The sequence below is a fragment of the Homo sapiens genome, chromosome 5 (genome assembly GCF_000001405.40).
Source record: "Homo sapiens chromosome 5, GRCh38.p14 Primary Assembly".
NCBI classification, from domain to species: domain Eukaryota; kingdom Metazoa; phylum Chordata; class Mammalia; order Primates; family Hominidae; genus Homo; species Homo sapiens.
The window spans coordinates 151,041,874-151,065,225 of NC_000005.10; the positions used below are offsets into that span (position 1 = coordinate 151,041,874).

Sequence of the window (23,352 nt, forward strand, 5' to 3'; positions counted from 1 at the left end):
ATCACTATGCTGAACACTTGGCAGCATCCCACCCCACCAAGTGCCATACAGCAGGCCTGCTTGGATCTTTTTTTTTTTTTTTTTTAGCAAGAGTTTCACTCTTGTTCCCCAGGCTGGAGTGCGATGGTGCAATCTTGACTCACTGCAACCTCCGCCTCCCAGGTTCAAGCAATTCTCCTGCCTCAGCTACCTGAGTAGCTGGAATTACAGGTGCCTGCTGCCACACCTGGCTAAGTTTTGTATTTTTAGTAGAGATGGGATTTCATCATGTTGGCCACGCTGATCTTGAACTCCTGACCTCAGGTAATCCACCCGTCTCGGCCTCCCCAGTTGCTAGGATTGTGAGCCATCGTGCCCGGCCACCTGCTTAGATCTTTTATATGGTGTGCTTCCCTGTACAGTTCCCCATTCCCTACAATTTTAATGGAACAAAAAGTTCTGAATAAAAACAAGAAAATGTGAAAAGCTGTAGTTAATGTAACTTTCTCAATTTTCAGATGGGAAACTGCAGTGCAGGGAAGGAACGTGCCTGTGTTTTTGGTCACCTAGCTCTTTCGCACTAGACCCCCGGGTCTCCTGACTCCTGCCCCTGGCTTGTTTGCTCCACAGAACTCTCCGCTAATGTGGAGGGGAACTGACTCTGCAGGGACCAGCAGTCACACTTGCCTCCTCCATTTCAATCTTGGACTTGGCCAGGAGGAGCTTGCGGTCAAAGTCACGCTGCTTCTGCTCCCGCTCGGCCTCCAGGTCAGTCACCTGCTTCTGCAAATCAGCCAGCTTCTGACGCAGCTCAGTGATCTGGGTTCAGAGGCAGAGAGGAGTGTGTGAGGCAAGGATGTAGAGCACTTGCAGGATGTGGGCAGGGCCTGGCTGCCCCTGGGCCCTCCAACACTGCCCCCAACTTCTCCTCTGGGCCATACTGGGGCTCAGCGTGGCCACTCCCCAAGGTTCAAAGCTGCTAAAGAGGCAGCGAGATGAAGACCAGGCATGCCCTGTGGGCGTGGCCAGGAACCCCACATTACCTTCTGCTCATACTGCTGCTTCATGGACCGGAAATGCTGGTCCCACTGCTTGTTCACTTCCAGCAGCTGTGGGGAGAGACTGGAGTTAGCAGGAGATGAGCAGAGAAGGAACAAGGAGAGCCATCTCCTGCCCCATGTACACCAGCGTCCCAAGGTGTGCTCGGTGTGTGTGAATAGTGGCTACAGACACTGTCTCCATCCCTCAGCTCTCGAAAACTCAATGTTGCTCAAAGCCATCCACCTTCATCCACTGCTGCATTTTACCTTGCCAGGAAAGCAAGATTAACACTAAGACATGGAAACTACATAGTTTTGGTGAATAATTATGGAACACACACACCTCTTTGGAGGGCAGTCTGGGATTATGTATTGAAATTTCACATTTTCATCAACTTTAACCCAATAATTCCACTCTGAAGAATTTAACCAATAGAAACACTTACACAAGTGTGCAAATATATATACACAAGGCTAATCATCTCAGCAATACCTGTATTACAAAAAAATCCAGAGGCCAATCTAAGCACAGAAGATAGGTTAAAGAAACGATAGTATAAACAGACAATGTGCAGCTGTTAAGAAAATAAGAAAATAGGCCGCCAGGCACAGTGGCTCATGCCTATAATTCCAGCACTCTGGGAGGCCAAGGTGGGCCAATTGCTTGAGTTCAGGAGTTTGAGACCAGCCTGGAGAATATGGCAAAACCCCATCTCTACAAAAAATACAAAATTTAGCCGGGCATGGTGGCACGCATCTATAGTCTCAACTACTCAGGAGGCTGAGATGGGAGGATCACCTGAACTTAGGAGGTGGAGGCTGCAGTAAGCCGAGATCATGGCACTGCACTCTAGCCTGGGCAACCAAAGTGAGACCCTATCTTAAAAAAAAAAAAGAAAAGAAAAAAAGAAAACAGAAAATAAAGCACCTAACACACTTCCTCAGTTTGAAGATGACACTATCCACCATACTCTTGATATAACAATTCCTCAGGGAAGAAAAACAACCCTACATCATCAACTAAATAAAACAAAAGGAGTATTGGCCCTGCCCCTTAAGATATGTCATAAGGATCCACACCAATTTCAAAAACATTGCATATGATAAAAAAAATTACAAAGAATTAAAGGAATATAGCATATGTTATAGATATGAATAGATACTCTCAAAGGCAGTTAATTTTTTTTTTGGAGGCAGGCCTAGGCTGGAGTGCAGTGGTATGATCATGGCTCACTGCAGCCTCCTGAGCTCAAGTGATCCTCCCACCTCAGCTCCCCCAAGTAGCCGAGACTACAGGTGTGTACTACCACACCCAGCTAATTTATTTTTTGTAGAGACAGGGTCTTGCTATGTTGCCCAGGCTGGTCTCAAACTCCTGGTTGCAAGTAATCTTCCTGCATCAGCCTCCCAAAGTGCTGGGATTACAGGTGTGAGCCACCACGCCTGACCCAGTTAATTTTTTAAAAAAGAAAAGAAAAAATAATCTGTAAAGCAGTGTGTGTATATACATATATATACACACACGTATATGTATAATTTTATTCTACTTTGAAAAAAACTGAGGGATATTCAACAAACTGTAATCAGTTGTGGTTTTCTCTAGGAGGTGGTATTCTTGATCTTTTTGTAATGAGCATTATATCACTTTTGAAATCAGAAAAAAAGACGCTTATAACAATACAAAAAGAAATCTAAAACTAATATGCACATCAAGAAGCTTTCAAATGTGCGGGAGGACAAGGGGAGGCAGGCTCAGGGTTCTAGAGAAGCACCTGGGCTGTGTGGAGAGGGGCTAGACGGAACAGACAGAACAAGTGTCTACCAAAAAGGAGCTGCACTTCGACCTCGGGTCTGGAAAGACTGGACTAGACTGGGGGTGTGAGGAGGGGGAGGAACACATGTGAGATCCATGGGAAGAGGCGGAATGGACTGCAGCACAGGGACTCTGCTGCGTGGCTTCTCTCTTGGCAGCAGAGGGAAACTAAGAGCCTCTTACGAACTGGCTCCTGCACCTTAGTGGGACTGGGGGACATTTAAACTACCTAAAGACCTGGCCATCGCCTTAATGGAGTTTAGGAATCCACTCAGTATTCTGTGGCAGGCTTCGGCTGCTGGCTGGTCCTTTTCATTCTTGCCTAAGAAAATTCTTGAAATGGGAGTCTCAAAATATCTGCAAAGTAGCTACACCAATAGAGGTAGGTAGCTATTTTTTTTTTTGAGATGGGGTCTTGCTCTGTTGCCCAGGCTGGCACGCGGTGGCACGGTCTCGGATCACTGCAACCTCAGCCTCCCGGGTTCAAGTAATTCTCCCTGCCTCAGTCTGAGTGGGTGGGATTACAGGCATGTGCCACCATGCCCGCTAATTTTTTGTATTTTTAGTAGGCACAGGGTTTCGCCATGTTGGCCAGGTTGGTCCCGAACCTCTGACCTCAGGTGATCCACCCGCCTCAGCCTCCCAAAGTGCTGGGATTACAGGCATGAGCCACCGCACCCAGCCAAGGTAGCTTTTAACGTTAAAAATTTTGACAGTAAATTTATGGAGCCTCCAGGCTAGTGGGAAGCGGCCTTAATCCCTTCCTTCCATGATGGGTCCTCCCTAAAGCATCTCTCAAGGGTCCCTCCACTCCTCATCGGTGATGCTAAAACTTGCCTAACTTATCACAACCTCTTTCCACCATCCAAGGTCTACCATAGGAGCCTGCCTAAACTGTAGCCCCAACAATTTTAGGCCATGCCCCACATGCCACCTCCTCAGAGTGACCACTGTAGGCAAAGGGACTGATCAAGAGAGGACAGTCCAGGGCAAGGAGTCAGACCTCATCCATGGGCAGGCAGGTCAGTGGTCACCATGCCAACTCCTCATGGTGACCTGGGACCTGCCAGAGCCAGGAGGCCAGGGCAAGCCTTTGTGCTGCTGGTCCCGGGAGGTAAGAGGGATCCTCCCACTACTGCCACCTCGGCCACCTACCTCACTGCGCTGCTGCTCCAGCATCTTCACCTTCTTCTCGGCTGCGCCCAAGGCCACCACCTCTGGGACCTTACCTGCCGTCACACTAGCCTGGGGAGAAGCACAGAGGAGCCTTCACCAAAACCTCAATACAAATTATCTCACCCAGTCTCGGTGCTCCTCTAAGACCCCTCACCCAAGTGGCCCCAGCCCTCTGTCTCCCTATTCCTCCCACCCAGCAGGACACCACTAACCATCCCAGTCATGACTACGTCCCCTTCTAGAAGTCTACAAGATGATGATTCCCCCTCCCTGACTCAGGGTGGCTGCCAGGCCCTCTCCCCTTCCCTTCTCCCCTCCCTACGGTCATTCTCCCTGTTTAGGTACAACCTCTAAGGTACTACCAGCCACTCTCCTCACTCCCTACACACATCAGCCAAAAAACTCTCTGGCCTGGAAGGTAAGACATTTGAGATGTAGATACAGACAGATATAGATATAGATATACTCATTCTATAAAACATATATGTTTTATAAAACTTTTACAAAAGTTGAAGTTATATAAAATGTTTATTTAAAAACATTTTTAGAAAGATGCAGAAATAAAGATCTGTGTAATACACATAGATGTTTCCCAGCTCTGTCCTCTGTAAGGGGCTAAAGCAGAGACATCCAGCAGCACTGAGCAAACCTAGTGCTCAGTTGGTTTCTAAATACCATTTTCTTTTTATTAAAAAGAAACAGGGCTGCTTTGAGGGGCTGGAGCAGATAAAATATAAGGTGAGTTTGATGCATCTTATAGTGATGGAAAGTAAGGAAGTGCTCAAATGAATAATACTAATAACAATAATAATAAAAGAGCATGTCAAAAGGGCACAAGAGACAACCTGAAAAAAACATCTATGGCCAAAACGGGAACACTTTGAACAGCAAAATACATCACAATAGTATTGGATTATAAGTCACAGTATGAAATAAATACTCTTGAGTTCATACTGATAGAACAAAATAGCTGAATCAATAAATAAATGGGGGAGAAGGGACAGCTCTTCCTTACAAAAGAATTCTGATTAATAAGTGTAGGAAGAATGAGGAAAATATGAAATCACCATTCCATTACTACAGTAATAACTGCTGCAGGTGGAGATCCACCAATGGTCACTAAAATCAGTGAGTGAAAGTTTAAGAAAAAATAGAGTATTTGCATAGTCTCTAAGTTTCTCCTCAAAAATAAACACTTATTAATTACAAAGGGAAAATTGGTCACTTGATTGCAGAAACTTGAAAGACAGCACTTGGCCAAGTGATGAAGGTTAACAGTAGTAAAACACTGACATCATGTACCCCTGGTCTGCTGGACTGAGAAATATTCTGCACACTCTGATGTACACAGAACGTCACCTCCGTGAGATTCTTGCCAAAACACGTAACCTCAATCTCCTCATGAGATCCAATCACTTGTGAGGCCTCAATCGTGACAGCAAATAAGTCTATACTGAAAAACATTCTACAAATAACTGGCCAGTACAACTCAAAAGTTTCAAGGTCATGAAAAGCAAGGAACAGCTAGGAACTGTCACAGACTAGAGGAAAATGAGGGAGAAGAGACAACTGAATGCAATGTGGGATCCCAGACTCCATGCTGGCACACGACAGGACATGAGTGCAAATCTGGTGAAATCTGAATAAAGTCTGTAGTTTACTAAGTAGTACATGCCATTAATTCCTAGTTTTGATCATTTAACCTGGGTTCTATAAGATGTTGCCGTTAGGGGAAGTAAAGGAAGGGGATAGGGGAACTCTCTAGACTATTTTTGCAACTCTTCTGTAAGTCTAGTTATACCAAAATAAAAAGGTTTAAAGGTTAAAAAAAAAAATAGCAAGTGCTGGGGTGAAACAGCAGACAAGGCCAGTAGTCCGGAGGGTGTGTGTCGACTCTATCTCCAAGCCCCTCTGTGATGGACACCAAGACCCTCGTCTTCTCTGGGCTTCAATGCGATGAGAAGCTCAAACAGAAGAAGGTCTGCAGGCCCCATCCGGACTTCTGACATTGTCTGCCATCATCCTGGAGTCAGATTCTCTCTATTCTCAGCGTTCTCTTTCCAGCGTTCTCTTTCCCTCCACACTGCACCCCCAAGTGGCTTCAGGTAGGGCTGGGTGCAGAGCTTGCCCCCTACAGGCTCAGGCCTGTAAGCACACCATAGCACCAAGGAGCAAGGTGAGGGGGAGCCCTCCAAGGAAGGTCACCCCCTTTGAGAAAGGGGACAGACAGGCCTGCCCACTTGAAATCTGCGGCATCTTGGATGGGAGCTGTGCTTAGCAAAAAGGTCAACAAGTTACCGGGGAAGGAGGAAGAGGGTGGATTCCAGGCTCTAGGGTGGTGCACCCTGAACCTCCGCGAGGGAGAGAGGAGTCCACGTGGAGTCAGCAGAGCTGGCTGCTGGCCCCAAATCTCCCCTAAAGAGCAACAGCTAACGTTCACTGTTTACGACGCTAAACCTACTTTACAAGCATTGCATCACTGAATCCTCACAACCACCCCTTGAGGCAGGTGTTACTATCTTCATTTTACAGAGGAAACTGAGGCCTAGGAGTCTTATGTGACTTACCCAAGGTTGCAGTGCTGGTAAAAGGTGGAGCTAGTATTCCACCTGCATGCAATTCCAAGGCACACTCGTCGCCCCTCTGTAACACATGCCTCTAATGAGACAGGTGACCCTGGGGCACAAGGGCAAGTCGCTCCCACTCTCAGGAAGGGCAGGAAGAGCATCTGGCTCGGGGCATTCAAGGAAGACGAGTGGAGATTAAAGGGCACAGGAAAAGTAAAGAGACCTGTCCAGGGAATTCCACACCTGAGGCAGCTCAGAGAACCCAAGGGAGAACAGCCGAGTCTACAAGTCCCTTCCACAAGAGGGCAGACAAGGCCGGATCTGATTTGGGGAATAAAGGGAAGAAAAGAGGATCTCCATGGGCTGGGATTCGGAACACCAGGGAAGAGCAGACTTTCACCATTTATCAGCATGTTTCCCTGGCCGTACCCTACATCTGCCTGATAGCAGGTCACACAGAAATCCTGATTATATGATGTTACTTGACCTCTCCAAACCTATGGCCATAGCTATAGAATGGAATACTAGTCCCAGCCTTGCCTACTCTATAGGTAGAGATGAGGCCCAAATAAGAAAATAGATTTGCATGTCCTGGGTAAACTCTACATTGTCACACAGTAATAAGGAATTAAGCCATTACGGTAATTGCTACTATTGCATAGGTGTAGGGTGGGTTAAAGACATTGAGCCCTACTGTTCAGCTATTAAACCCCATTAAAGGGTGAAGTAAAAACACGTTGGTAAAGAGTTGGGACTCAGCTCTGCAGCAAGGGGAATGGTAACGACTGGGCAAGGGGTGCAGAGTCTGCTCCTGCTTGGGACCTGGATGTGGCCAGTGCTGGGACTAGAGGATAGGGGAGTGGGCCAGCCCTGCAGCATCACCAGACCACACAGACACTAGCCAACACCCTCCCCTCTCCACTTTAGAGGCTCCAGAGACACAATCCCAGGAGCTTAGCAGAATCCAAGGGAGCTTGCTCAACCAACCTAATTCTGCCAGGAATATCAAAGATGTTAAACTGACTTTTGGGAACCACTCTCTAAGACAGACCTTGACAAACTGGAATGTGTTTACGGAATGCACCCAGACTGAGCAAACGACTCAACACCACCTTCTATGAGCAATGGCTGAAGGAACTGGAGCTATTTAGCCAGGAGAAGAGAAGGCTTATGAGGCCCATGAAGCCACAGTGACTACCAGCAGCCTCTAAGCATGGAGGTCAGGCCAAGTAAAGAAAAAAACACGTAACAGCTAGAACCTTCTACCACTGGCACTGGCTGCAGGAGGGAGGAGGCTCACTGTCACTGGAGGTGGTAAGCAGAGGCTGAGTACCTGCAACCAAGGATGCTACAGAAGGAATTTCTGACCACATACCTGCTGCTGTCCAGCCACTGCCTTCTTGCCTGTCCCTTCCATCTTCGGTGAGCCTGGCCGCCCAGACGCACCCTCTTTGTTGCCATTGCTCATCAACAACTTCTTGAGCTCCAAATTTTCCTCCCTGGGATGGAGGTAAACAGAGAAATCACAATGCTGACCCTGAGTTAAGAAACCTACAGGGCTCCTTAATGCTCACTATCGCATGAGTTGCAGCTGAGCCCCAGGGAGTACTGCAGGATCCTGAAACCTGCCCTCCTGGAAAACCAAAAAGGGCATCTTCAGCTACCTTGCTCTCAATCTGTGGAGGTCTCTGATTGTCAATGGCAGGGTTTCCCCAGCTGTGGAATTTCTATGCACACAAGACCTTCCGGATATATCCAAACACTGCATTAAATAACCCTGGATCACATTCTAGTGAGAAAGTGACACCCTTTCCAATTATCTTCACATTTCTTGTGTAGACCACGGAGACGGTGCGAGCTTGGTGCTAACAGGCCCTGGGCACCTCTCTAGTTACTCGCCAGTTTCCCTCGTTAACACAGAAGGTGCAGGCTGCAGGCCCAGAGCCTTCAATGTGCAATGATCCTTAGCCTGAATTTATTAACATCCTTTCACTTTCATTGTATTTAGAGTTATCTTCTATTTATCACAGGTAATGCTGTTTTCCATTTACTCTAGTTAAAGTTGCCTTTATAATTTTAAGTAAAAAGATGAATCAAATTAAAGTAAAATTCTAAGTAACTAATAAGGCAGGTGATAGAGGAGATCATAAAATTAGTGATGTGGATTCAGGTCTGACTAAAATGTTTCTTCTTTCTTTTTTTTGAGATAGGGTCTCGTTCTGTCACCCAGGCTGGAGTACAGTGGCCCAATCTCGGCTCACCACAGCCTCGACTGCTCCTACTCAAGTAATCCTCCCACCTCAGCCACCCCCAACCTCCCCCACCACACACCCCCACCCTCTTGAGTAGCTGGGACTACAGGCACACCACCACACCCAGCTAATTTTTTTGGTATTTTTTGTTGGGGCTGGGGGAGGGGTGGTGATGTATTTCACCAGGCTGGTCTCAAACTCATGGACTCAAAGCAATCCTCCCGCCTTAACGTCCCAAAGTGCTGGGATTACAGGTGTGAGCCACAACGCCCAACCACCACTTCTTTATGTTCTATTTGCCAGCTGAGTTTCCGCTTGAAAAACCAATAAGTAAAATGACTTTCCCAAGGTCATACAGCAGAGACTTGCATTCTTGCCTTCTAATCCGTGACTTTTTTCCCCAGCTTCAGTTTCTGAATCCATGGATGGGGTCACTAGGGCTATAAAAACCCCAAAAGTGCATCCTTGGCCATCCAAAAGCAAATAAATTACACACTGATTCAAAATAGCCAGTGGCTCAGTAGTTAAACATTACTTCTGTGGCCATACTTACAAAGTTTATATTCCTTCTCTTTCTGTTGATTCTAATAAGAAACAGGAGAGGAGGGAAAAACAGAGTGGCAAGTCCTGTCTGTGACACGGGCCTTTCCTATGTGCCTGAGCCCAGCTGGTACCCACCAGATGACTCATCACCCAAACTGTCCAGGACCACAGTGCAGGCAGGAATTGTGGCCACTCACAGGATGGAGAGCAAGGAGGCCCAAGTTCCTGTTGTAAGACTCCAATCAAGTCCCTGCCTCTCCCTGGGCCTCAGTTTCCCCTCTGCACAGTGAGAGGTCTGTCTGCATGATCTCCAAGGGCTTGTCAAGCTCTGACAGTCAAGATCAGTGTTTCCCAAGGCGTGATCCTGTGCCTACCTCGTTCATAATCACAGAGACTCCTGGTGAAATGCAGGCTCCTAGGTCTTGCCTAAGACCTGTCAATTCAGAATCTTGCAAAGGAAGGAAGGGAAGGCGTATAAACTTGTAATGCCTTTCCCTGACCCTCAACCCTCAGTTAAGTCTAAGCCCCCTAGTCCAGTGGGGGAGCTCTCATGTTCTCAGGAAGACAGAGCAGGTTGGGATGGTGACCAGCAGGAGGCAGCAAAGTCCTGAGTCCTCTGGACAGCCAGTTCACCGTTAACAGGGGAGAGAGGCAAGTGCTGGAGGAGGAAGGAAGTACAATCTATGCTGACCTTCTTCTGAAGCTCTCAAGGCACTCTATACACCTCCCAAGGTGGCAAAAGGGCCAGAGAGAAAATACCAAAAGAGCCAAGGAGAAGGATCAAGAGACGTAACCTCCAAATAGGGCTCTGGGCACAGGGCCTCAGAGCCACGGTCCTCAACCCAGAAATCAGTGCTGCACACCAGCCCCTCCTCCTGCAGCCCCCACTCCTCACCCCTTCTCTGAGGGGCCTGAACTTACCGCAGCCTCTCGGCAGCCTGATCCCGCTGTTCCAGGCCCTTATCCAACTTGGCCTTCAGAGCCTCGTTCTCCTTCCGAAGCTGCTCACACAGGGTCTGTGGGGCAGGGGAACAGACAGGGTGAGGGAAAGGAGGGGCCCCTCCCAGGTGCAGGCTGAGCTAGAGGATGGTGGGGGGCCTGTAGCCACCCCAGGGCCCAACTCCTTATCCCCTTTGCCTGGCCTCACCCCATCCCTCTCTAAGGAGCTAAGCCACTTGGCCACCCACGTGTCCTCTCCCTTGGGAGCCAACTACGGAGAAGCCTGACCAAGTATCAGCCATGGGGCCTTCTGCTCCTCCAAGACAGACAGCTCCATCCCTTCTCCTTCATCCCTGCTCCCACTGCCGGGACCCCTATTCCCCACCAGCCTCCCCCAGCTGACTTCTACCCTTCTTTGAAGTCTTAGTTTAAATCCCATCTCCTCAGAGAAGTCCTCCCTGACTCCCCGATCCAGCTACATTAGGCTAACTCCGTTATCCTTGCTCACAGCCCCCCGCTTTTACGCTTCTCAGCACCTGTGGCAGATAAAGCTAAAGAACTGTTCGTGCTGCTGTTTTCTTAATATCTACCCCCTTACCCCTAATTAATTCCTGAGCTCCCGGAGGGCTGGGACCCCTAACCATCCTCTTGTTCACTGCCAGATCCCCAGCCCCCAGCTCAAAGTTTGTGGAAGGAACAACATGACTGAACAGCCAAATGAGCAAATGGACAAATGAGCAGGCGAGTCCTAGGGGGGCTGAAAGGCACACCAATTTGCAGGTGTGAGAGGTGCCCAGTGTTGCCAAGGGGAAAACCAGAAGACAAGGCATTCAGTCGGGACCTCACTATGCCCTCACGCCCTCACAATGTGGCTGTGACACTTGGTTCCTCCTCTACAAAAGAAAGACAACTGTTTCTCTTTTTTTTTTTTTTTTTTTTTTTTTTAAGACAGAGTCTCACTCTGTTGCCCAGGCTGGACTGCAGTAGCATGATCTCAGCTCACTGCAACCTCCACCTCCCAGGTTCAAGAGATTCTCCTGCCTCAGCCTCCTGAGTAGCTGGAACTACAGGTGTGTGCCACCATGCCTGGCTAATTTTTGTATTTTCAGTACAGACGGGGTTTCACCATGTTGGCCAGGCTGGTATCAAACTCCTGACCTCAAGTGATCCACCTGCCTCAGTCTCCCAAAGTGCTGGGATTACAGGCATGAGCCACCACACCTAGCCCAGGGACAACTGTTTCTTCTCTGCCTCCTCTATAGGGCTGCTGAGAGGGACAGATGAGACAGTGAGAGTGGAAGTGTCCATGAACCATCAGTCACTTGCTTATGTGCGGGGACTCATATTGGAAGCTCTGTGAACTGGGGGCATGGAAGAGGGGTCGCCAGACTCAGGACCTCACAGGCTGGGGGGAAGGGAAGGTGCTGACTAGCAATGCTAGCATACAGTGTCAGCACAGAGTTGTTCAATCTTTCCACAGATCCTCACTGAGCACCTCACCTGTGCCAGGTACATTGCTCGGTGTTTCTCCATATACTGCCTCACTGGTGCCTCACAACTTCCTCAAAGCTAAGTAACTCATCTCTATGTTAAAGGTAGGGAAACCAGGTAAAATGATACAGTCTAACAGGTGCACAGCTGCTAAGACTCATCACTGGCGGGGAGTAAAACTCCAATTGGCAGACCCCACACTGGTGTCTCTTTCCCCTGTGATGAAAGATCAGAGAAGGGAGAGAGATGGTGCCCAAAGGAGGGGACAGCCTTTGAGCTGGGCCAGGACCAGGGCCATTCACTAAACAGCCATCTGCTGCCTTCCACCTCCCAGGCCTGTTGCAGGTGGATGCAACCATGTGACTAGTTCTGGCCAACAAAAGAGGTGTAGAAGGGACAAGCATCACTCCTGGACTGGCCTACGCACAATTCTCCAGTCTCTTTTTCCTGGTAGCAGGGGCTGATGTGGATGCCTCGTATTCTAAAGGGCACCGGAAAGTTGGGCCCCTGTCTCCCTGGGACTCTAAGGAACTGTGTAGAGCAGAAACAAACCCCTGCCACACAGAATAGGAGGGAAAACTTTTGTTGTGTAACCCAGGGAGATTTCAGAGTTGTTTCATTTCTGACTCACAAAGGAGACTCTTGGGAAGGCTGAATGGAGGACACAGCCTTCAACTGGAGGTGGCTGGACAATGAGGGAGATGAGGCTTAGCAAACAGAGAACCAGCTGGGCATGGTGGCTCACACCAGTAATCCCAGCACTTTGGGAGGCTGAGGCAGGAGGATCACTTGAGCCCAGGAGTTCAACACCAGTCTGGGCAACATGGCAAAACCCTGTCTCTACTAAAAATACCAAAAAATTGGCCAGGCATAAGGGCGCATGCATGTAGTCTCAGCTATTCAGGGAACTGAGGTGGGAGAACTGAGCCCAGGAGGTCAAGGCTGTAGTGAGCTGTGGTCGCACCACTGCACTCCAGCCTGGGTGGCGGAGCAAGACCCTGTCCCCCAACACCCCTTAAAAAAAAGAAATCAAAAAATTATTGTTATGAGTCCATTCAATGCCTAGCAGAGAGCCTTATGCTATACCTGACCTTGAATATGTTTGTTTAGTGAACCAAGAAACACATCAGTGAATGAATGAGGAGGAACTGGATCAATACACCTCCACCCAGGCAGTAAAAATACCCAAGATGCCATGTCTCTGGGCGAGGCCTCCAGGGAACAGAATGGCCTGCTCCTAGTCCCTAAGGGAAGGCCAGGACAAGGCCTCACTTGCTGTCCTACCCTTGCAGTCTAGAGAGCTGTTTCCTTGGAGTCTCTGGGCCAATGCCCTGGGTGCAAACCGGCCAATGGATAGAATCATCAGAGGTCACAAAGATCATCACCTTCCATCCAAGGTGCTACGAGAGCTATGAGTTCATTTGATCATTTATTATTTTGTCCTTTCATTCATTCACCAAGTGTGTATGAAGTGCCACGAACTGGGACGCAACAGTGAATACAACAGACATGGTGCCTGCCCCCCTCAAGCTTACCTTCTAGCAGAGAGTATAAGAAAAAAAAGAGTATAAGAAAAAATGTATTAAATAAAATTATTACAAACTATGATAAGAGCTAAGAAGGAAATAAACAAGGAGGGGACTGAAATAAAAAATAACAGAGGTTGGCAGGACCCCTTTTAAGGGGCCTAGGATCTATCCCCATCTCAAAGCTGAAAAGTGGATGCGCAAAGTGCTCTCACCCCAGGCACCTTCCTACCCTGCCCACAGCCTAGGCACTGTGCCAGGCTCACCTTGCCAGGGTTCAGCCTGGATACCTTGAAGCCTCACTGACATCTTAAAGGGGTTCCCTTCTCTCAGCCTGGCTCTCCAGGCCTCTGCCTCTCGTTCAGCCTCACCTCCCAACACACCCCTCCCCTCCAGGTGGGATGGGCATCCTCCGTGCTCCTCTACCCCCACACCTCTCCTCATACTGCATCTCCAACCTGATTGCCCTTCATGCCCTCGGCAACCAAGGTCACGCAAGGGGGACTCCCCCTTCTGCCATCAGCGGGGCACTTGAGTGCCTGCTGACATGAATGAGACCACAGATCAGAGAATGGCCTGGGAGGAGAGTCTGCAGGGAGTAAGGAGGCTTCAAGTCATGGCTCTGTCACTAAGGTGGCGGGCACTCAGATCACGAGCAGTCCCTCAGAAGCCTCCGTTTTGCCATCTTTAGAATGGTCACCAATTATAACTGAACACTTCCCCGCTGCTAAAGCCCACAAGGCTAAGACCCCCTGCCCAGTGTGGATGCCCGTCATGAACTCCGAATGGGGACCTCTCTTCCAGCATGGACTAGGTTCTGGACTGCACTGGGTGCTTCATGTACATGGCCTCATTTAATGCAGCAATCTAACCATGGAGGCACTTCTAGCTCATGTTACTGATAGGAACATTGGGGGATAGAGAGGATAAGTGACTTGTCCAAGGTCATACAGCAATAAAGGGTCACTACTGGAACCAAGGACCATATAACTCCAAGGTCTGGCCTGGCCTAGCAAGGAAATCTGTCCATTCCCCACAGCACAGGGAGGCTTTCAAAAGGAATTCAATAGGGGAGGCAGGTTGGGATGGTGGTCAAGAGTATGGGCTTTGGAATGCGAGAGATCGAGGTTCCAATCCCTACTTCACCATTTACCAGCTGGGTGACCTTGGGCAAAAAAAGGGCTGCTTCCCCACCTGTGAAGTGGTGATAATGAGGGTGCCTACCCTGGGGGGAAAGAGGCATTATGAAAGGAGTTGACCTTTGTTCCCTCCCTTCCCATCCCCCAACCCTGCACATGAGAAATAAAGGCAGGGCTGCTGGGGGTATCCCCAACCATGACACTCGCATTGCCCATCCCGTATTTCCCCATTTCCTTCCTCTTCCTCATCCCTCCCCACAACTTCCTTATCCTGTTCATCACCCTGAACAAAAAGCCCGAAGTCTGCCCACAACACAGCCTTCAGAAGTCCCCATGGTACCAGTGGATTCCCAGGAGCAGGAAGGTGGGAAGAGCTCGGGGGGAAGCACGCCTGCCTGTCTCGGGCTGCCCTCCCCACGCGCCTCACCTGCAGAATGGAGGTGCGCTGCTCATTCTTGTGCACCTTGGATGCCAGTCGGTTGAACTCCAGGGCCATGCGGCCCAGGTGGGTGAAGAGCTGGCCGTGGTCCGGCTCCTCGGCACACACACTCAGCGTGGTCTCCAGGCGCTGCAGGTGCAGCATCAGGTTGCCGTCCTCACGGGGCAGGGGGCCCAGCGCCTGGAGAGGGAAAGGGCACACGGCCCACTCTTCACCAAGGCCTGAGTAGGCGCCGCCAGTCCATTCTCCCTCTGCTTCCTCATTTCTCATGACTCAGTTTCCCCCTGTGACCCCAGCTCAGCCCCGGGAAATTCTCCAGTTATGCAGGTTCCCTGTCTGGGGCTGACTCACAGGGCAGAACCCAGGACTCACAGGCCACTGGTGGCTCCACAGCAGCGGGGCCACCATCCTCCCACACACTGGGCCTTGCAGAGTGCCTGACAGTAAGTCACTTGTCTGCTGGACCTCAGCATCCTCATCTACCAAATGTCCGCACAACCCTTCCCTCCCTTCAACCTCACAGGGTTCTTAGGAGGATGAATTGACCCCTGACAGTAACAAGCCCAGAAAAGGGACATCACTGCACAGTCAGCCCTCCATATCCATGGGTTCCGCATCCATGGATTCAACCAACTGCAGATCAAAAATCTTCTAAAAAAACAAACTGGCCGGGCGCGATGGCTCACGCCTGTAATCCCACCACTTTGGGAGGCTGAGCGGGCAGATCACAAGGTCAGGAGATCAAGACGGCCTGAGTGGTGAAACCCTGTCTCTACTAAAAATACAAAAATTAGCTGGGCATGGTGGCACGTGCCTGTAATCCCAGCTACTTGGGAGGCTGAGGCAGGAGAACTATTTGAACCAGGGAGTCGGAGGTTGCAGTGAGCAGAGATCGCACCACAGCACTCCAGCCTGGGCAACAGAGCAAGATTCCGTCCCAAAACAAACAAACAAAAAACTGTATTGAACATGTACAGAATTTTTTTCTTGTCATTATTCCCTAAACAATACAGTATACCAAAATTTAGCATTTACATTGTATTAGGTATCGTAAGTAATCTAGAGATGATTTAAAGTATATAGGAGGATGTGTATAGGTTATAGGGAACTACTACGCCATTTTACATCAGGGACTTGAGCATCCATGGATTTTGGGTATCCTCAGGGAGTTCTGGAACCACTCTCCCATGTTTACCAAGGGACATCTGCATATACGTCCTGCAACCTCCGCCTCCTGGGTTCAAGCGATTCTCCTGCCTCAGGCTCCTGAGGAGCTGGGATTACAGGTGTGCACCACTACACCAAGCTAATTTTTGTATTTTTAGTTGAGACGGGGTTTCACCACAATGGCCAGGCTGGTCTTGAACTCCTGACCTCAGGTGATCCACCCACCTCGGCCTCCCAAAGTACTGAGATTACAGGCGTAAGCCACCATGCCTGGCCTACACATGTGTCTTCTGGGGAATGGCCCAAGCATTCATCAGCTTCTGAGGACCCAAGACTCAAAACAGTTTAAGGAACCACAGCTTTAGCTATTTCAGAAAGTCCCAAACTAGTACAGTATGTAAGAAATAAAGCACACCGTGGGCCAGATAGTTGACTCTTTCTCTCTAGTCTATCTGGAATACTCCTACCAAAGACATTGCCTTTGTTACACCAATTCCACTCCCAAGGACCTGCAGTGTTACCCTACTGCAGACGGCACTGGGCCCAGCTCCCCTGCTGGGCATCTAAGGCCCTACAGCCGCAGGTCCCATCCACAGCAGCATCCAGTTGGGCTCCCCACTTTACCCTGCCTGAACCCACACACACCAGGTCTGGTGTCTCTGCATGTGTCCTCTCTGTGTCCTCTCTGCCTCTGCAAGTTCTGCTCATCCTTCCCACCCTGTCCACGGCTCAGCTCCTCCAGCAGCCTCCCGGAAACAGTTATGGGAATCACAGGACAGCAGAGCTACAGGGAGCCTCAGAGATCAGGCCGGGAAACCAAGCTATGGGGAGGAGGAACTTGCCCAAAGTTGCCCTGTAAGTCAGTGGCAGAGGTATAACGAGAACTGAGGTTTCCTGACTCGCCATCCAGTGCTCTGCTGCACTGACCTCCCACTTCTCTGAACTCTGGAGGAATGGCAATGACTATAACCCCAACTTGGCATTCCCTGAACACCTGTGTAATGGCGTCAGTGTGCCGCATTCTAACAAGAGGAAATGCTGCTGTTTCAACTCTGCATCCATTCCCCCACTGCCTCTTTCCACAAAGGAGCTGAGGTGGCAGATGCTGCTCTATTTAAGGCTCATGCGATGCTTCCCATGCCTGCGACTTCTCCAGACTACAAGCTTCAGAGCACAGGGAGGCTGTGTTGTCTTGGCTCAAGTGGCTCAGCAGAGACAGGCACACTGTAGAGCTAATGAGGAACTTACTACGTCAGTTAAAGTTATCGGTCCAAAGTCAGAGTGAAACACTTTCTGAGCAGGGGATCTTGCCTCCATGGCCAGCATCTCAGAGCCCTCAGGGACAGAACAGGACAAGGGGACAGAAGGTTCCAGGCGACAGAACATAAAGAGCCTTTCCAATACTCAGAGCTGCCTGAGGCAGTGGTGAGCCTCTCAACACTGAAGGCATGCTAGTTAGCCAGACAGCCACCTGAGGGGGCCCTGCACTGGGCACTGACAGGTACATGGGGCAACCAGTGAACACAAGCATATTTGTCAGCCAAACCTTTGTGAAGGGAGGCAGCAGGGATCAATATATCAGTGAAGGGCTAGAGCACCTATTGCTCGCATAACAACAATTAAAGAAAAAAACTTAAAAGTGGGAAGGAAGGGAGAATGGAGAAGGTAGAAATTTAAGTCGTTTAAAGAATCTTCCAGACTTTTCACAATGGTTCTTCAATAAGTCTGCCATTTTAAGAAAGAACAGAAGGAGATATAGTTAGGAAAAAGGCAGCCAGTGTTGTAAGGTGTGGAATGAGGATGCTGGGCAGACGCTCCAGAGCTGTACGAGAGACAGAGAGAGAGAGAGAGAGAGAGAGAGAGAGAGAGAGAGAGAGAGAGAGAGTGTGTGTGTGTGTGTGTGTGTGTGTGTGTGTGTGTGTGCGCGCGCGCGCGCGCATGCGTGTAAGTGGAAAGTTGAACCTCCTTCCTGTGTGCTCCAAGAGTCTGCACAAAGAGCAAATCACCTGTCTTACAGGGCCCTGGGCCTTCCTGACCCTTCTTTCTCCCCCGGGGTTGGAAGCCCACAGACCCAAAGGGCTGAGTCATAGTGTGCGGAGGTGCCTGGCCCCTGGCAGAAGGCAACAGGGCTGGCAAAGAGCCCAGGCTTTCACAACGGTCGGGTGCCCGTGTGCTCCAAGTCGGGGAAGTCACTAGCCCAGGAATTTGCATATGTGAGCGAGAAGCACCCTTTGCTCCTGCCCCTCGTGTATCCCCAAGTGACTCCAGGGTACCTAAGGGATCTGAACAGGTTCTGTGCCTCTCACATGGTAGCAAGTGACAGGACACAAAGAGGGCAGCAGGTCAAGCCCGGGGTCCTGCCCGTCCACTCACCATCGCATTGGCATGGCTGCTGCTCTCTGGTGAATTCTGCTCCTCAGGAGTGACCACTTCAAATTCAGAGGAGGTGCCCTGTGCAGAAAGGAAGTTAGGTGCTGCCCGAGAGAAAAACAGCTCACCCCTCCTCTGCGGCCCTGTGGCTGAGAGCAGCAAGGGGGACAAAATCTCTTCCCATTTTGAGTACACAGGGACCGTTACATATCATCTCACATGAGATCACAAAGCAGGATTCTCGACAAGCCTGTCATAGCCCTCTGCATAATGTGAGGTCATATCCCCTCGATGGCCAATCCTCTTTTGTAGAAGGGAGATGTGGGACTAGCTGACCTTGAACCAGCAGCACTGTAGGATTGCATTTTTTAAGGCCGTGTACTTTTTAAATGCTTTCATGAGCTCCATTATTTCTCAGGGTGACCCATGGAGTGGGTCAGAAGGTTATATCCTCTTTGGAAAGATGAGGAAACTACAGTATACAGTTGGTTAATGCAAAAGCAGGGATTGAACCCAAGACTGCAGATCCAGCATTCCTGCCACGGCCCCAGAGCTGTCTCTTAGGCCCAGACGTCTCTGATCGGTTTCCCAGAACACAGATGGCAGCTGTTACGGCCACCACCAAGCATGTCCTGTGCTGGCCTTCCCAAGCCAGTCCTGGAGATCCCAGAGGAGTGAACTGATCTGAGAAAAGTCCCAGAGATGATTCACCAAATTTGGAGACTATTTCAGGATTCAACCAAATCCACGGTGGCCAAGAAATCCCAGATTTTTTCACATCTTTCCGTCATTCCTAGTAGAATTACTGGTCATTCAACCAACCAAGAAGCCAATGGCCCACCTGAACCAGCCATTAGCTCTGGGATCTGGGATTTCCATGTCCCGTTAAACCTGGTCTGCAGCCTCCCTTCATCCCAGAAAGGGGCAGGATAGATGAGAGGAGTCAGTGCTCAGCTTCCAGCTGACCCTCATGGCCACCAAGAACTCACCTCTGGCTCTTGGCCCTGCCCTAGAAAGTCTCCCTCCTCCATCTACATTTTCCCCATTACCCGTGTAACCTCAGAACAGGTCCTTCTTTCCCTGCACCTGATCTGTAGGATAAGGATGCTGAACTATGCAATCCCTTGTAGGATACCAAGCAAAACTTCTCCAGCCAAATCTGTAGATTTTTTTTTTTTTTTATGAGAGGGTCTGACTCTGTCACCCAGGCTGGAGTGTGGTGGCATCAACATGGCTCACTGCAGCCTTGACCTCCTGGGCTCAAGCGACCCTTCTGCCTCAGCCAGCCTCCCAAGTAGCTGGAACCACAGACATACACCATCACACCTGACTACTTTTTTTCTTAGAGAGATGGAGTCTCACTATCCTGCCCAGGCTGGTCTCAAACTCCTGGGTTCAAGCAATCCTCCTGCCTCAGCCTCCCCAAGTGCTGGGATTATAGGCATGAGCCACTGCGCCCAGCCTGTAGAAGATAGTTTCTGAGCCCTCTTTGAGAATGTGAGCTCCATGTCACATCTGTCTGTTTTCCTAGCACTGTGCACACTCAGTGATACTTAACAGTATACAACTTAGTAAGTGAGAAGAATTCCTTGTACATACCAGGGTCTTCCTGGTAAGTTTTAACTATGACCTTCATTTCAAAATGGGGAGGCTGAGGCCCCAGAGAGTTTGCGATGGACTTGCCCAATATCACCCAGCGAGACGGAACACAGTTTCTTGACCTCAACCCTCTTTCTTCATGTTCTTGTATCTGTCAGTAGGACTTGAGGTCCATCCAGGCAACCTCCACCCATGACTCCAAATAAAACTTACACTGGATGGAGGCTTCTGGACTGGTGCTGGCTTGTCACTGGGGCATGCAGGGGCTGTGGGAGATGCTGTGACATTTGAGTCCTTTCCTGGAGAATCAAGAAAGCACAGATGAACTGACTGGGAAGGGGAGAAGCCCAGGTACCACCCTCTCAAGGACAGCCCTTGACAAAAGGGTTCTCAGACAGGATTCCCCACTCGAGTGTGGGAGAATGGGAGGTGGTCTCATCAGGGCCAGGTAGTCTGAGAAAATGGCCTGCCCTGGAGTGACGGGGCAGAGCCTGAGCAGAGAGACCATGCTCCCTGGGCTTACTGGGAAAATCCCAAGTTGGCTGCTGCTCCTTGCTGCCCTGAACAGGCCTCAATGATAAAGACAATGATTTACAATTTGAAAAGTCTTTATGTATCTATTATCCCAGCCATTCTCATAAAAGCCCCATATCCCCATTTTAAAGGTCAGGACACTGAGGCTTGGGAAGGTCATCAACTTGCCCACAGCCACATAGCCAGCAACTGCAAACTCAGGACTGAGACTTGGCCCTCCCTCCCTGACTTCCTGCAGTCCTTGCTGCAGGGAGCTCCTTGAAGGTAGCTTCATTTCTCACTCTGAGAGTGGACCTGGCACCAATCAGGAACTCAGGAACATTGCTGAATAGACAAGCAGAGGCTGGAAATGCCCACTGACTGCAGCACAGTGGACTCTGAGACCATCACTTTCCTCCATTTGTCCATTCAGCAAATGCAACCACCAGCCAATAGAAGGCTGTCACATTGGCCTGGGCCAGATACCATACAGTAGAGCTGCAGCAGGAGGCATCTGAGTCCAGCTGAGGTGCGGATCATTTCCATCCTGGTCCCAGACCTTACCCTGGACTTGGAGACATGCCAGAGTAATGCACACTCTGTACGCATGGTGATGCCTCTACCATACATGGGACTTCAACCCCGAGCCACAGTCACCCTGTCCTTTAATGGGCAGCACACGTAACCTTACATCTGAAATACGCTGCAGCAGGCTAACAGGCAAGCCCAGCTTCTTCCCTGGGCCTCAGCTTCCCTAATTGTAAAATGGACGCGCAGGGCACGACCAGGGAGCTTCCAACTCATATGCCAGCTCCAAGTGACAGGGAGTAGCTGCTTGGAGTGCGATGCCTGGCACACAGTAGCTGCTCATTAAATATTAAATATGCTGATAAAGACCCCAAGGCCACAGGACTGCAATGTAGTCAACTGTTGTATCTATTACTCATGTCTGCTGGGGCCTCAGGAGTGCTGAGTCACTGGCTATTTTTAACAAGATTGTTTTGAAGTCCCTTCCAAATCTGACCTTCTGGGGGATGTGGCAGCCAAAACATGAATGGAAGGGTAGCCTGTGACCTAAGGATAAACGAGAGAATGTGGGTTTTGGCATAAGAAGGGAGTTCACTGTGAAGGATTTGGGCAGTTTGGGGTACAGGGAGAGTCAGAGGTACCCAGACTCCTCTTATACCTGTGAGCTCAGCCAGGGGGTCGAAGGAGCCCAAGGAGGGAGAAGGTGGTGGGAGCAGCTCGTTGTCCTTCACTAGCTCCTCTGCCTTCTGCCGGAGCCTGGTCGCTTCCATCTGGGACTCTTCCAAAAGCTCCCCTAGAGTTATTGGGGAAGAGGAAGCAAAAGCATTTACTCGGCTCAGTGTGCTGCTTCTCCCCGTCCCAGGCCCCTAACCGTGCTGCCGCCTGGCTTCTGAGGCTCCAGGCCCTGGACTTCACTCCCACCGTTGCTCTGTGGGCCAAGTGGGACAAACTCCATGCTGGTCCACCATAAGAAACAGGCTAGAGCAAGGACGAGGGCCCAGCAATCGGGGGACACAGGAGCGGAAGGAATCTATGAGAAACTCCTCGGCTCCCCCAACCCCCAGCATTCTCTTTCTGCCCCACTCCCTTCACACCCAGCCAGGGCACTCCACAGAAAGCCAGGGGCTCCCCCACCCTACGGGCTACCCACAGCCTGAGCCACCAGGGCAAAGGGCTGCCTGCAGGGCGGAGACCTTGGATAATTCCAACCAGCCCTCTAGGCCTCCATTTTCCTTCTCCTACAAGTGGAGATGGGGAAACCACTCCTCCCTCCCCAGTCGGCCATCCCAAGCAAGGATCTGCCAAGCAAGGAGAAAGCATTTTAAAAATCAGGGGGCTATGCTCCCCTCTAAAACATGAGACTAGAGAAGGGCACGGCAAGGCAAAGGAAGAGTTTCAGGAGTGTGGAAGAAAGAGAGCCCCCTCTGGATGGGGAAATCAATGAAAGCCTTGTCTGGAGGAGAAGGGGGCACAGCAACTGGGTGCTGATGCACAGGGCCCGTCGGTCGTGTGGAGGGAGGTGGGGTTGTTCTAAAGTGGGGATGGCTTGAGCAAGAGCCAGGAGAAGAGAACTGAGGGACCTACCACCTCCTTGCTTCAAGCCAAGCTCTGCTCCCTGCTCCAACACCTAGGAACGCGTGCCCCAGTTGCCTGGTCATGCTGGCTCTCCCCATCTCTCGTGCCCCAGAAAGAGGAGACCACTCTAGTTCCATGGCCATTAACTGGGCCTTCCAGCCCCCTTTCCCTTAGCCCACGCCTCCCTCTTGGACCTGAGTCCTGTCATCCTGGTTTCCGGGTGCTGAGGAATCAGGGTTGGGAATACTGTCACCATGCTACATGGTGCATAGAGACAGCTGTGAGGCAGGAGCCAGCGCTGGGCCAGGAGGGACAGGGGATGACTTGGGCAGAGGCATATGCCAGCTTCATTCTCCACTGCTAGTAGAGGGACTGGCATCACAGTCTGCAGGGAGGGGCGCTCGCAGGGAGGGGACAGGGTCTGCTTTACCTAACATCTTTATCCCTTGCATTTTTTCCTTCAGCCGGGAATTCTCCTTCACTAGGCGCTCAAAAGCTGCGGATGCCTCTCCTGAGGGCACGCTGCCCCCAGGGTCGTAGATCCGGTACGGTCCTCTCCCTTCCATGAGGGTAGCTCAGCCCCTGCCGTGGTGCCCGCCTGGCTGTAAGGACAACAGCAGCATATCAGCAGGCTGGCCAGGCCATGGGGGCATCCTTTGCAGAGAAGCTCTAGTCTGTCAATGCCCCAGAAGGCAG

At 50.3% G+C, this 23,352-nt stretch overlaps 1 protein-coding gene across 36 annotated transcripts in view, besides 3 other annotated features; it reads right to left on the minus strand.

Annotated features, from left to right (window-relative positions):
- The window catches only part of TNIP1 (TNFAIP3 interacting protein 1), a 57,743-nt gene that overhangs the window by 11,931 nt on the left and 22,460 nt on the right, over positions 1–23,352 (minus strand). For 24 of the 36 annotated variants that reach the window (XM_047416625.1, XM_047416617.1, XM_047416616.1 and 21 more), the window contains 10 exons: positions 23,087–23,258; positions 21,740–21,874; positions 20,254–20,339; positions 18,445–18,522; positions 14,893–15,084; positions 10,292–10,386; positions 7,951–8,074; positions 3,988–4,077; positions 1,023–1,088; positions 667–798 (listed from right to left, as the gene is read on the minus strand). In XM_047416625.1, the coding sequence (XP_047272581.1) occupies positions 667–798; positions 1,023–1,088; positions 3,988–4,077; positions 7,951–8,074; positions 10,292–10,386; positions 14,893–15,084; positions 18,445–18,522; positions 20,254–20,339; positions 21,740–21,874; positions 23,087–23,222 (1,134 nt within the window). In that variant the 5' untranslated portion in view covers positions 23,223–23,258. Of the gene's footprint in view, positions 1–666; positions 799–1,022; positions 1,089–3,987; positions 4,078–7,950; positions 8,075–10,291; positions 10,387–14,892; positions 15,085–18,444; positions 18,523–20,253; positions 20,340–21,739; positions 21,875–23,086; positions 23,259–23,352 lie in introns of those variants that run through there. The other 12 variants (NM_001437740.1, NM_001437737.1, NM_001437736.1 and 9 more) reach the window with 3 other exon arrangements.
- Positions 6,091–6,230: an enhancer, noted in NCBI's record as "active region_23429". NCBI's record gives its function as "activates an Ori minimal core promoter by ATAC-STARR-seq in GM12878 lymphoblastoid cells {active_cell/tissue: GM12878}" and the evidence as "EXISTENCE:reporter gene assay evidence [ECO:0000049][PMID:35858748]".
- Positions 14,432–14,958: an enhancer, noted in NCBI's record as "H3K4me1 hESC enhancer chr5:150435866-150436392 (GRCh37/hg19 assembly coordinates)". NCBI's record gives its function as "activates a minimal SCP1, AML or CMV promoter by ChIP-STARR-seq in primed H9 embryonic stem cells {active_cell/tissue: H9 hESC(primed)}" and the evidence as "EXISTENCE:reporter gene assay evidence [ECO:0000049][PMID:30033119]".
- Positions 18,366–18,435: an enhancer, noted in NCBI's record as "active region_23430". NCBI's record gives its function as "activates an Ori minimal core promoter by ATAC-STARR-seq in GM12878 lymphoblastoid cells {active_cell/tissue: GM12878}" and the evidence as "EXISTENCE:reporter gene assay evidence [ECO:0000049][PMID:35858748]".